At 39.4% G+C, this 13,878-nt stretch overlaps 1 protein-coding gene and 1 long non-coding RNA gene across 12 annotated transcripts in view, besides 3 other annotated features; both read right to left on the bottom strand.

Annotated features, from left to right (window-relative positions):
* The window catches only part of CD200 (CD200 molecule), a 30,240-nt gene extending 21,995 nt beyond the window's left edge, over window positions 1-8,245 (bottom strand). For 5 of the 11 annotated variants that reach the window (NM_005944.7, NM_001318826.2, NM_001318828.2 and 2 more), the window contains exon 1: window positions 7,594-7,662. In NM_005944.7, the coding sequence (NP_005935.4) occupies window positions 7,594-7,605 (12 nt within the window). In that variant the 5' untranslated portion in view covers window positions 7,606-7,662. Of the gene's footprint in view, window positions 1-4,800; window positions 5,214-7,593; window positions 7,663-8,116 lie in introns of those variants that run through there. The other 6 variants (NR_158642.1, NM_001004196.4, NM_001365853.1 and 3 more) reach the window with 4 other exon arrangements.
* Window positions 4,825-5,584: an enhancer, noted in NCBI's record as "NANOG hESC enhancer chr3:112054081-112054840 (GRCh37/hg19 assembly coordinates)". NCBI's record gives its function as "activates a minimal SCP1, AML or CMV promoter by ChIP-STARR-seq in primed H9 embryonic stem cells {active_cell/tissue: H9 hESC(primed)}" and the evidence as "EXISTENCE:reporter gene assay evidence [ECO:0000049][PMID:30033119]".
* Window positions 6,081-7,037: an enhancer, noted in NCBI's record as "OCT4-NANOG-H3K27ac hESC enhancer chr3:112052628-112053584 (GRCh37/hg19 assembly coordinates)". NCBI's record gives its function as "activates a minimal SCP1, AML or CMV promoter by ChIP-STARR-seq in naive H9 embryonic stem cells {active_cell/tissue: H9 hESC(naive)}" and the evidence as "EXISTENCE:reporter gene assay evidence [ECO:0000049][PMID:30033119]".
* Window positions 7,038-7,995: an enhancer, noted in NCBI's record as "OCT4-NANOG-H3K27ac hESC enhancer chr3:112051670-112052627 (GRCh37/hg19 assembly coordinates)". NCBI's record gives its function as "activates a minimal SCP1, AML or CMV promoter by ChIP-STARR-seq in naive H9 embryonic stem cells {active_cell/tissue: H9 hESC(naive)}" and the evidence as "EXISTENCE:reporter gene assay evidence [ECO:0000049][PMID:30033119]".
* The window catches only part of LOC105374042 (uncharacterized), a 30,277-nt gene continuing 24,462 nt past the window's right edge, over window positions 8,064-13,878 (bottom strand). The window contains exons 3-5 of the long non-coding RNA NR_147411.1: window positions 13,124-13,207; window positions 11,432-11,472; window positions 8,064-8,632 (exon numbers count right to left, since the gene is read on the bottom strand). This is a non-coding gene — a long non-coding RNA (uncharacterized LOC105374042). The remainder of the gene's footprint in view (window positions 8,633-11,431; window positions 11,473-13,123; window positions 13,208-13,878) is intronic.

The following is a 13,878-nucleotide window of genomic DNA, read 5'->3' as shown; positions in this document are numbered from 1 at the left end:
AATGTTGTAGCTAAGTTTTTACCCCCCAGAGAATTTTGGTTTTGTGGGAGCAGAACTAGAGGTTATAAATGGAAGAAATAATAAAGCATGCTCAGGATATGAGGAGGGAAAAGCAGCAGCGTGGCTTCAACACAATAGCAATGCCTGGCAATTTGGGGCCTTGCTCCTGAAGCCACCATTGTCAAGAGCGAGGTCTCAAAGACATAGGATCACTGGGGAAAACAAACTGGCTTAAATAAATACAGAAAATGCTGAGAATACAAATGTTATACAGCATCCACTTCCCAAAAAATCCATGTCTGTTAATGTTAAAAATGTAACTCAGAGGGTAACCACTTTTCAAGAACATTATTTGACTGCCTTGAATTTTGTTGAGGTTGATTTTAATTCTGCAAGTCTTACATATAAACCGCATGTTTTAAAAAGCAGTACTGGCTTTAATTTTTTCCTTCGCTGCCTTATTTTCATGTGTCTGGGCAGAAATCCTCGGCCTTCTTATAAATCTTGGGAGTATTTAAGATAATGTTATTCTGGGCATCATCCTTCTATAAAATGGTAAGTCAGGGTAGAGGCAGTTGAACTTTTCTCTGCAATAGTGCCATGGATCCATTCATTTGGTCTGTATGTATGTTCATACTAAGGGGCAAAGGAAAGAAATGTAACTTTTTCCTTTATTTTTTCTATATTTCTATTTTTCATAATAGAGATGATTAAAAAATGTAACTTTTATCTGTTTTTAACTGAACTTTATTTTTATTTCATGTTACTATTCCAACTGGAGATAAGAATTTACTTCCAGTCAATGTTGCATAATCTCTGTCAATTCGGTCTCTCACCACCACAATACCCCATAATTGTCCCAATCTCTAGCATTGCGTCTGCATTCCTGGGGGTTCACAAAATGCCCAGCTATGAGACAGGACTGCTAATCATTGATTACAACCATCTATTATGCTAGCATTGGCTAAAATGGCTGTGTTCCCCTCAAGTCATCACTGTCATTAGTTTGTGCAATTATTGCTCACAAGATGAACTGGTGCTTGCTCATGTTCTTCCAGGCTGTCCCTGGGTTCCCCTTGTGCTGGATGAAAGAAAATTCTACAAGGCTTTCTGCCTAAATTCCTGTGTATCAATCCATCTCTGTTTTACTGTTCACTTGCCATGATGGACAAGCATGCTGCTTCCTACAGTCCCTTTAGGGGACTGTGAGACACAGGTATTATTTTTTTCTTGGATCTCAACAACTACTTGCAGGTTCTATTTTCTACTCTCCTGAACTTCCCATGTCTGGGGCCTGGACACAGGGCCTTATTTTGGGGATGCAAACTGGTATCTGAGCATAGACATCAATCAGTCCCATTTTGCTCTCCCAGCCTACAAAATATTTATCTCCCTGAGCCAGAAAAGCTAGTTCCTCCATCACTCTGCATTCATCCAATCAACCCTTTCTAGCATGAACATTATATCCTTGGTCTTTTAGCATTTAGTCTTTTGAAACTGGAATGCCAAGGCTCTTGGTATTGCAAAATTTTGGCTTTTGAAACTAAAATTTATTTTCTGCTTAGTATTCCTTCTCTAAGGCAATGGAAGCTTAATTGTCTGATTTGAAAGACCAGAGGACAAAAATAAAGTACTGGAATAAAAAATCACACCAGATGATACATTAAAATAATACTCCAACTTATATTTTGCATAAGGTTACTAAACCACTAATGCTAACATTTATTTAACATTTATTATGTACTAGGCACTGTTCTTAGCACTTGAGATAAAGCATTTCATCCAATATTTCATATAATCTATATAGGAAGCACTATTATTATCATCATTTTCAAAATAAAGAATATGAGGCACAGAGAAGTTAAGTAAATTGCCCAAGGTCACACAGCTGTGAAGTGACAGAGAAGGGATTTAAGCCCAGGCAGTCTGGTTTCAGAGCTCATAACCATAATTACCACACTATCTTGCCTCCCCTATGTATAAAGTTTTGTTGGTTTAAAAATTTTGACACATCGTCACAAAAGTACATTGTTATTGCCTATGACCAAATCGTTGTGAGGAATTACCAAACTGCTATTCACACAGCAATCCCTGCTTCATTGCCCTGCAACAATGTTAAATTCAATTTTGAAGCTGTTTTTAAAAAGCATTTAAACCGGTTTCCACAGAGCCAAGGAATCTCTGAAAGCCATTGAGTCATTGTCTAGAAGCTCTGCTAGTAATAAAGCATGACCCCATCTGTCACTACCTGCAGCTCAGCACCTACAAACATGCTATCCAATCTCATGTCACTGTGCTTTCCACCTTGAACACCAAGCTCCACTTCACCATTCTTTCAATGACTTGAAATTACCAAGCTATTTCCTACATTAGTTCTTTTATCTTTCCTTCTGCCTAAGATGCTGTCAGTTGAATAAAAAAAACATGAAGGAATGCTGAATAATTAAATTTATGAATAACATCAAATTAATCGTCATTTTACCCAAAACAGCTACTTTTTTGTACTTTTATCTCCCAGGCACTCAAGTCATCCAGGATGAATCATTTTTCCCCTACCTAGATATGGAATTAGTCACTTTACACATTAGATTCTCGCATGTGAAGTGTCTGTTCCTTGGTACCCATGTGAAGTGTCTGTTCTTTACCACCCTAGTCTCAGCTCATAACACTAGGTGTTTTGTGCAGTAGTCTTGTCTTCTATTGGAACTGAACTTTTGCCCGTATAGTTGGTCCACCGTATCTGTTGGTTCTGTATCCGTGGATTCAGATAACCACAGATGGAAAATATATTTTTTAAAAAAGCATCTGCACTGAACAAACACAGATTTTTGTCATTATTGCCTAAATAATACAGCATAAGAACTATTTATATAGAATTTATATTGTATTAAAATTATAAATAATCAAGAGATGAGTTTATATATATGGGAGGATATGCATAGGTTATATGCAAATATTACAGCATTTCATATAAGGGACTTGCACCATCCACCAACTGGTATCTGTGAGGGTCTTGGAACAAAGCCCCCATGGGTCCCAAGGGACAACTATACTTCTTTCATTTATTCTATTATTAATCATCTCTATTGAGTCTGACTTCATGCCAGGCACTATGGTAGGTACTTTGGAGACAATGGTGCATAAGGCAGATATAGTCCCTAACTTAGTTAAGTTTACTATCCAGCTTATGTATTTACACACTATTGACAGATTAATTTTCCTTAAATTCCTCTTTGTACAAGATGCCATCTTCTTCTATAGCCCCTAACTATCTAGAGAAAATTGTTCAAAGTTCTTAGCCTGTTTTCATTCTTGCAAATTCATTTCCATTGCCTTCCTATGTATCCCCTCCCTGCCAGCTAGCCTTTTCTACTTCTAAACGCACCACGCAATTTCCCGCCTTGGTATTTTTGCTTGAGCCATTCCTCCTACATGAAATGTCTTCCCCCTCACTTGTATTTATGTAAGGTCTTACTTTTATGAGCCTGATTACAGTCATCTTGCCATACAGATCCTCCTCTTCGGAAGCATTTTCTGCTTAGGTCTTTTGGAACTTTTAGTGCTCCAAGAAGATTCAAGCCTCTTCCTCCAGTGCCAAAGGGGTCCCATCTCCCTTTGTCTGCCATGCCACAGCTTCCAGATCTTGTCTGAACACACCCATCTGCTTTCCAGTTTGAGAGAAAATGACTACTTCCCAAATATACCCACCATATACCCCACACCTTGAGACACTGTTTCCAGCATGCTTACTACCTGTCAACACCCCTCACCCCCCGCCACTCCCCCAGCTATCAGTCTTTCATTCTCTCTTGTCAGTGAAAAAAATTATAGCACTAAAGCAGGCTTGACAGTTTTGAAACTACTCTTCTTTTTCAGACTGAGTTAAATTCCTGAGGTTGGGACATTGTCTGCTTGTTTCATTAGAAACAGTCTCTTATTTGGCTCTGTCTATTCTTTTATGGTATTTAGCAGTATGATCATAGTCTTCCATAAAGTAGTGGTCTCTTGGTGCCTGTCTCATTGCCCCCCAAGAACCTCAATATCCACTGAATCCTGTTGCTTTAGCGGGATGTCCTGACCACTTTTTCCTTAATGAACCCATCACGGGCATCCCTTTCTGAAGTTGTTTGTATGTTCTTATCGGCTCCTGTTTAGCCCCATCTGTTGCTACTATAATTTGAAGCTTATTTCTAGAATATTGGCCCATAATCACTTAAATGACCTTGCTTTAGGGTCAGGATCATTGCTAAAGGGTGGTGTTCTACCTGTGGGAATCCCATCCCCTCATTCTCGGTGTTTGCCTTAACTAAGCCCTATTTTTGCCATTCCTTTTAGATACAATGACTTCCCTGCTGGAATTCATTTTCCTTATCACTCCAAGCTGGGTCTTTCTGTTTGCCTTTCAATTTCTCTGGGATTTTTATTGTCTTGTGATGGCCTTCTTCCTGTGGGCTCAGGAGCAGCGGGTCGGGAATGGAGTTCTCAAGGATCTAAATCTCTCCTCCTTTACCTGCCACAAGGATTTCTCTTCCTTTTCCTGTCCAATGGGAGCCACTCAATTTTAATATCCTCCTACTCAATGGATTTGTTAATTTTAATTCCAGTCAATACATGCCCTTTTCTTTCCTTATGAAACAGCCACGACCTAAACTTAATGAGGGAAATTTCAAGAGGAAGTACCAAACCAATTCCAAATAACAGGTGTTTCACAAACATTAATCTTATATAATAAGCTTCATTTTTCCTCTAGCAAGAGAAGTTACTAACCAAGTCCCTTCATAGGTAGGGGTAGAAAATTACCTGGTAATCATTGATGGTGGTCTTTCCTAGGAGTGTAGCTGTAAGGAGAGGGCCCCCAATTGTCCTGGTCAGAGTCTGTGGTTTGAGATCAATGAGATGATAAAAATTAGAGCCAATATTGTCTCAGCTCTCTTGGGGCCAACTTGTACCCTGGAGGTGGTTGTGTGTGTTGAGCACCAGAGCTGTCATGGTCTGGGTGAAGACCCAAGATCATGTTAGAGACTGGCCTGCTGGAAAAGGGCTCTTCTTCAGCATTCACTCTAACTGCCAGAGACAAGGAGTCTCCATCACTATCTCCATCACAGTATTCCTGATGGATCTTTCAGGATAGATGTCCTGGAAGGAATGATGTCTCGCCGCCCTGTGGCCTATCCCAAGTGCTGCCACATACCTGAGTGTCTTCTTGTCTTCAGCTAGAGAGAACCAATCACTTAGACTCTCATCCTGGACCCCATGCAGTGGCATCATAGTACACAGTAATACTGATCTTTGTGATGTAAGTTGCTTTTTCCTTACATCTCTAAGGCTACAGAGAATTCAAGATTATATCATCTGAAGGTGCCATTAGGACAAATTATTCTTTGCAGATATATTTTATTATTCGATACCCAAGCATACCATAAGCATGCTATCCCTTCCTTGTGACTTCTCTTCCTGTCTTCATAGGTCTAAGACTAATAACATAGTCACTGCTCTTTGAGAAACCCAAGATGGTTCAGCTGCCTGAATACATACAGCCTACAAAGATCTGCTCACCCTGCCCATCCACTGCTGGGTATTATACTCACAAAGGCTTTGGTTTTGAAGTGAAAAAAAATATATAACTCGATAATTTTCTCAGTATTACTGAGACTGTTCCATCCTATCTAATTATCTAGGAAAGTCAGAAAAAATCAGGCCAAATATTTCCTCAGGCTCCATTGCCAGTGCCCACCCAACACATTTTGTTTTATTTTCAGCTAAGGCAATTGTGGAGACAGATACTGGCATTCCAATTCTATGTGATATTTTTTAAACCATTAGGCTTCTCTGACGTGGAAATCCAGGCTCTACCAGAGGCCATGATGAAGAATGCAGAATGGACAAGCTCTCATAGAGAAAATCTGTGTTTTAGGACAAGAGAGAAAGCAGATACATACCAAACCATATATTGTGGACTGGGAGCCAGCAATGTTAAGAAACAAAACACAGTGATTGAGGCAAAGGAAATCAGAAGGAAAGCCTTACTCTTAAATAGATACGTATTTTTATTTTACAGGTTTTTTTTTTCCTCGAGTCTGTGCAGAATAACTGAAAATACGACCAATCTGAAAACAACAGTATTTATATGTTTACAGGGAGGTGACCGGGGCTAAAACAAATACTAGATTTGTGAGCAAAAGAAATCATTTTACCTCTCTGAGACTCCGGAAAAGTAATAGTACCAATCTAATGGTTAAAAAGACTAAATGAAGTAGTATATAAAGCTCCTAGAATACTGCCAGTAGAAATAAGCACTAAATAAATGTTGCTCTTATCTCACATAGTTATTATGAGAATTAGGCAATTAAAGCACTTAGTATAGAGCCTAGGTTATAGTAAATGCCAATACGTGTTAGGTAGCTAAAAAAATTAATCGATCAAATCATATAGGGGGAACTACAGTCCTGAAAACAAAGAAGCCCACTTATAACCCTTGCCATGCAGTCCAGGGTTCACAAAAACCTGGGTCTTACCAGACAGCTGCCCACCTGGTAGCTATATTGCCCCTATTCATGCCTCTTCCTCAGCAAGTTTCTATGTCCAAATCCACATTACCCCACATGTAGTCACAAGGACTTGGAAATATCAGCCTTTCCGCCTGTTTATGTGTAAAACGAGGTAATAATTCATTTTTAGAAGGATAGTTACAAAGAAGATTAACAGCATCTAGCTTGCAGTAGACCGTAGCTCACAGACCACCATTCTCCTTTGTTAAGAAAGACAGTGAAATCATTGGCTATGTGGTCTTGCCAACAAACCATACATGAAAAAATTATCTTGAGGCATTCACTGTATTTGGATTCTTATACCAATACCATTGTATTTGGATTTCATATACCAATGGGATATATGAAAACCTTCTCCGTTTTTTGTCTTGTAAGCTGGTTCCGAATAAACAAAATGTCTGTTTCTCTAGATACCCGGGGTTAACCCTTCAAAGCATTATGATCACAGAGCATTTCAGCTCTCTCAAGTGTAGCTTCAGCTTTAACTGATCCTTCATGGCTTCCCCCAGGCAAGGGCTAGGAGGGAGAAAGGGGCTGCATAACAAAGAGGAGACGCAGGAGCTCTCCCGGAGAAAGCGAGCCTGGAAATCTGTATCTCCGCCGCAGCTTTTGGTGCCAATATGGAACCAATACAGCATTTCTCTTTCCCTTTTGGGGGCAGTTTAAAATAGGCTGTGCCTCCCCAGTTTTGGGAGCTGGAGCCAGTGAGCCGAGCCGAGCCTGCCCGGAGGATGCGCCAGCTTCGTCAGCGCGGATCAAGAGCCCCCGGAGCCCCGGCCTGGTGCATCTTTTTTTCAGGCAATTGGAATGGAGAATCTGGACGCCAGCAGCTGCCTGTAAACCACCCTTTGGAAGGCAAAATCCGTTTCTCAGCAAGAGAAAGCGCTTAGAGAAAAGCGCTGCCATCAACACCGCTGATCTAGTCCCCGGACCAGATTGTGGCAAGAGCCGAAGCTCCGCGCCTTCCACTCGCCGCCCGCCCCAGGGCCACCGGCTCAACATCGCCTGCCCTGCGCCCTCCTTCCCAAGCCCCGGCCCCGCTCACCAGCCTCTCCATCCTTGCTCCTGGAGGCGCGCGCGAGGTGGCTGACTGCGGATGTGCGCCTGGAGCTCTGCTAGGCAGGCGGGAGGAGCGTCACCTGTGCCCCTGCCGCACCTCCCGCCTCTTCCTCCTCGCTAGCCCCCTTCTCCCACTCCGTTTTCCCCACGCCCTCACAGGAGCGGAGGCTGTCTGTGTGGGGGGAATTAAATGATGTTTATATTCAGCTTTGTCTATTTTCAGACATTTTTCCCTTTTCAAAGGTGACCGCTGGGGAAACTGACAAAGTGTTTGGAAAAAAAAAATCATTTTTTTTTTTCCATTTTCCTGCTACCTGGACTGAGAAAGGAAATGAGGTGGGAGGTTGTGGAGATCAGTTGTTGACCTGTTAGCTCTTGATGTAGTGGCAAAGGATTCAAGCTGAATTTAACCAATGGACTTTTTTTTTTTTTTAAAGAAAAAACTTACATTTATTATTTTTAAATCCAGATTCAAATTATATATTTAAGCAATTCCGTAATGATTTCACCTTTCATGATGTGATCAATTCTTTGGTGAAGAGTTTCCTTCCACTTGCATTAATGATGAGGATTCTTTTTTCCCTTCTCCTTCTCCTTCTTCTCCTTCTTCTTCTTCTTGAGACGGAGTCTCGCTCTGTGGTCCAGGCTGGAGTGCAGTGGCGCTATCTTGGCTCACTACAAGCTCCGCCTCCCGGGTTCCCGCCATTCTCCTGCCTCAGCCTCCCGAGTAGCTGGGACTACAGACGCCCGCCACCATGCCCGGCTAATTTTTTGTATTTTTAGTAGAGACGGGGTTTCACCATGTTAGCCAGGATGGTCTCGGTCTCTTGACCTCGTGATCCGCCCGCCTCGGCCTCCCAAAATGCTGGGATTACAGGCGTGAGCCACTGCGCCCGGCCCTCCTCCTCCTCTTCCTCCTTCTCCGTCTCCTTCTCCTTCTCCTTCTCCTCCTTCTCCTTCTCCTCCTCCCCCTCCCCCTCCTCCTCCTCCTTCGTCTTCTTCTTCTTGTTCCAGAGTTCTTGGCTCTTAAAAAAAAAAAAAAAAGGACAAAGAAATCATCAAGTGTTCACCTCCTGAAGGCTTTTGTGTTTTACTACTACCACCCTCTCATAAGGAGCTGGGACAAAGCTTTGGGGTTTTGTTTTTGCTTCTTTTTACAGACAAAGTCTCGCTCTGTTGTCCAAGCTGGAATGCAGTGGTGCGATCATAACTCACTCCTGGGCTCAAGGGATCCTCTCACCTCAGCCTCTAGAGTAGCTAGAATGATAGTTGTGCAGCCACTATGTCCAGCTTTTTTTTTTTTTCCAGACACGGGGTCTTGTGTTGCCCAGGCTGGCCTGAAATTCCTAGCCTCAAATGCTCCTTCTACCTTTGCCTCCCAAAGCAGTGGGATTACAGGCATGAACCACTGCACCTGACCTATTCTCCCACTTCTTTTTTTGGGGGGGGGGCGGTGGGAGACGGGGGCGGAGTCTCGCTCTGTCGTCCAGGCTGGAGTGCAGTGGCGCGATCTCGGCTCACTGCAAGCTCTGCCTCCTGGGTTCACGCCATTCTCCTGCCTCAGCCTCCGAAGTAGCTGGGACTACAGGCGCCCGCCACCACGCCCGGCTAATTTTTTTTGTATTTTTAGTAGAGACGGGGTTTCACCGTTTAGCCAGGATGGTCTCGATCTCCTGACTTCATGATTCGCCCGTCTCAGCCTCCCAAAGTTGTGGGAATTACAGGCGTGAGCCACCGCGCCCGGCCCCTATTCTCCTACTTCTAACACCATAGACTAGGCTCACCTGATTTTGAATTTTATATGAATGGCATCGTAGCATATGTCTTCACTTGTTTCTGGGTTTTTTACTCAACAGTAGATTTTAAAAATCCATCCATGTTATTGCCTGTAGTGTGGCTTATTCATTCTCACTGATGTATAGTATCCTATTCTGTAAATACTGTCTATTACAATTTATTTATCTATTCTTCTATTAATTAACATTTCTTTGTTTTTCAAATTGGAAGCATTTTTCATAGTGGTGCTATAAACATTCTTATACCTGTCTTTTCACAAGCATATGTACATCATTCTATTACATTTATTTTTCCCATATATTTTCCTATCACTTTATTTTTAACCTTCCTCTATTAGAGAAATATTAACTGCACACTTGGAAAAAAAATTCTCCCACCTTGGCCTCCCAAACTACTGGGATTACAGTTGTGAGCCACTGCACCCGGCCTTAACCTATTTGTATGTTGTAATTACTGATATAATAGGACTTTTAATTTTTTTATATTTTATTTTAGTATATTTTCTTCTGTCTTATCTTTCATTAAGCTAAATATTATCTTGCTACATTAAGAGTTATATTTTATTATTCTGCTGTTTTCTCCTAACTTACTAAGGACAATGCATATATTTATTTTTTTAAGTCAATTTCTTAAATTTCCCAACACGTATACCTTAGCATAATTCTCCTCACCTCTCATAATCTTATTTTCTAATTTTTTAAAAATAAAATCTTACATTTATTATTTTAAAATCCAGATTCAAATTATATAGTTAAGCAACCAGTTTCATAATGATTGAGGCCAGGAGTTCAAGATCATACTGGGCAACATAGTGAGACCCCTGTCTCTACCAAAAAATAAAAATAAATTACCTGAACATGGTGGCACATGTCTGTAGTCCCAGCTAATCAGGAGGCTGAGATGGGAGGATTGCTTAAGCTCGGGAGGTTGAGGCTGAAGTGAGCCATGATGGAGACACTGCACTCTAGCCTGGGTGATGCAGTGAAACACTATTTCAAAAAAAAAAATAGCTTAAAAACAACATTTTTAGGTTAAAAGAGACTTGGGACACAGAAGAGTGAACAAAAGGGGAAAAACTCCCAGCCATAATGAAGCATAAACATTGTATTAAAAACCCTTTGAAAAAGAAGAAATTTGCTTACATAATTTTTTTTAAAGAAAGGTCTGCAGGAAAAAGAAAAAAATGACATTTAAAATTATTGGACAGATTTAAAGGAGCATTCAGAATTAATATATCACCTTAACTATATCAGATGTCAATATTGAGCAAAAGAAGCAAACAAGGAACTCAACAAAATGAGAAGAAAAAAAATAATAAAACTAAAGGCAGAAATCAATAAAAACGAACACAAATAGAATAAATATAATTTTTTTAGAGATTAATTGATCAAACGGGTGGCATGTAATACTCAGAAAATTATTTCTGTAATACTCAGAAAATTATTACTGTAATACAGAGTAACAATATAGAATGAAAAGGGAGAATTAATACTGATGCAACAAATAGCAAAAATAACAAAACAATATTGTGAACAGTAATATGAAAACTTACACAAAATGAATAAATTTCTGAAAGTGGCAAATTGGCCATAAAAATTTAAAAATTAAATAGGCCAATAAATTAGTAAGCAAGTAAATCAAAATCAAAGACTTGTTTTGCAAAATAAATAAATAAATAACAGACCTAGAGGATTGTTGAGGAATAGATCTATCTTATTCATGTTCAAAAGGGAGAATTATAAAATTACTAAGATCTTTCTTTGAGGCTAGTGTTATTTTAATTTTAAAGCCAGGAAAGGATAATCCAAGAAAATAAAATTATAGTCCTCTTTTACTTATAAATATAAAGCAGAACAATTTCCAAAATGGCTTAACATTAGAAAACTGTCAGTATAATTTATTATATTAGTAAATTGCTATGAAAAATTCATGATTATCTCAACAAGTACCAATAAATTTTTTCTTAAGTTCAACAACATATTTATCATAAAAGCAAAGGAGATAAGAATAAGAAAATATTTCCTAACCTTATGCTTAGTGATCAAACTGCAGTAAATGTCATATTCAACTGTAAGGAAATTTTAGACATGGTCTTTTAAATCGGAAACAAGAAAAAGATAACTGTTATTGCAGGTATTAAATATAAAAAGAGGTGTCGATTGGAAAGAAAGAAGCAAAACTGTCATTAGTTGTAAGAGAGAGAATCAACTTCATGAAAAACAATCAAAATCAACAGAAAAACTTAAATACAGAGTTTAGCACAGTTTCCAAATATTGGTTAACTTAAAAAATCCAAAAATGTTCCTAAACCACTAATAATAACCAGCTAGAAATTTTTTAAAATATCATTAATTATAGTGAATAAATTAAAAGTACCAAAGAATTAACCTAGCAAAAATTACACCTACATTGAGAAAATTGTAAAGCCTTCCTAAAAGACATTTAGAAAGACTTGAATAAATGGATAATATATTTATGGCTGAAGGAAATTCCACTATAAAGACATCAATGCCCCAAACTCAAACTTATTAACAACTTATAGTTTGACTTAACATTGTTAAATCCATCTACTTTTTATCCACAAAAAGTGGACTTTTGGTTTTCCATTAAATACTTCTGTTCCCCTAACAGTATAACTGAAAAATGTAATAGAGTGATGCCAAACAGGGAGAAGTAATCTATATCTAGTATGTAAAGGATCTAAGATATAAAAAATTTCTGGCTGGGTGCGGTGGCTCACCCCTGTAATTCCAGCACTTTGGGAGGCCGAGGCAGGAGGATCATTTGAGGTCAGGAGTTCGAAACCAGCTTAGCCAACATGGTGAAACCCTGTCTCTACTAAAAATACAAAAAGGGGCGCTGTGGCTCACGCCTGTAATCCCAGCACTTTGGGAGGCCAAAGCAGGTGGATCACCTGAGGTCAGGAGTTCAAGACCAGCCTCAAAATATGATGAAACCCCTTCTCTACTAAAAAATAACAAAAATTAGCTGGGCGTGGTGGTGGACACCTGCAATCCTAGTGACTTGGGAGGCTGAGGCAGGAGAATCACTTGAACCCAGGAGGCGGAGGTTGCAGTGAGCCGAGATCTCACCATTGCACTCCAGCCTGGGCAACAAGAGTGAAACTCCGTCTCAAAAAAAAAGAAAATACAAAAAATTAGCTGGGCATGGTGGTGGGCACCTGTAATCCCAGCTACCTGGGAGGCTGAGGCAGGAGAATCACTTGAGCCCCAGAAGTGGAGGTTGCAGTGAGCTGAGATCGCAGCATTGCACTCCAGCTCTGGGTGACAGAGCAAGACTCCGTCTCAAAAAAAAAAAAAAAAATTTGCAAATATAAACAGCCAACCAGACATTACTTGAAGATGTAGACAAGAACTTTACAGAAGGGGAAACTTGAATGGCTAACAAATATATGAATACATGCTCATACTTATTAATAATCTGAAAAAATGCAAATCAAAGCAGTCATTCAATTGGTGATGATGGGAGGGGATCTGAATCAGGGAATAAATAGAAATATTCAAAGACATTAATATTAATATAACCTCATTAGAAACCAATAATTCATGAAATTTGATTATATATTTAACCAAATCATTGTTTTCATTTATTTCTAAAATAATTGTTGCTACCAAATGCATGATTTAATTTGGAAGGTTAAATCTTAAATTTGAAGTGTACAAAATAACAGTAACAAATTCACAAACCTTCCAATTTACCTGTATGTGAGAAGAGAATGGCTCATTGCATTCTCCATGTGAGGCTGTCTCAAATGAAGTATTGGTTCACACATACTCTGTGACCTAGAGATACAGCGACATTAATGTATCCATAAGAGGAATACAGCCCAAACACTCCCCCTCATGGCAGTACATTGTAAGAGTATGCTACGAGTAAAAAATTGGGAGATTCAGACTCAAATTCTCTTGAGATTGACCAAAGTATATTTTCAAATGCTTAGTTGGGCATAAAAATACTCCAATTACAGAACTTGCAGATTATTTCCACTCTATAATAGTGAGAGTCATAACCTATGATTTGTCCCCTTGGAGAGTCTATTCATTATACTCTAAAATTTAAACCACTGGTCCTTATATGTTCCATATATTTCAGATTCATATATAGAGATAATTAACCTATTCCTTTGGATGTAAAATAGGCGTTTCAAAATTAACATGTTCAAAATTGAACTCTGGATTCTCTTTCCATAGTTTATTCTTTCTCTGATCTTTCCCGTATTTGTAAAAGTTTTCTTCATCTAACACCAAAAAGCAAACAATCATCGGGACAATTCTTATATTTTGCTCTTTTACCACAGCTGTTCCTTCAGCAAATCTTGCTATCCTAAACTTGTCCTTAATCCCTCAGTCCCCTTTGCTGCTACTCTAGTCCAGGCCACCATCAACTCTCATCTTAACTACTGCAATAGTCTCTTTGAAAAATCTCCTTCCAGTCTCTACCTTTTTTTACCTCT

Source organism: Homo sapiens, chromosome 3 (genome assembly GCF_000001405.40).
Source record: "Homo sapiens chromosome 3, GRCh38.p14 Primary Assembly".
Classification (NCBI taxonomy): Eukaryota; Metazoa; Chordata; class Mammalia; order Primates; family Hominidae; genus Homo; species Homo sapiens.
Note: the sequence above shows the minus strand (reverse complement) of the source record. Positions and strands in the feature narration are given on the sequence as shown.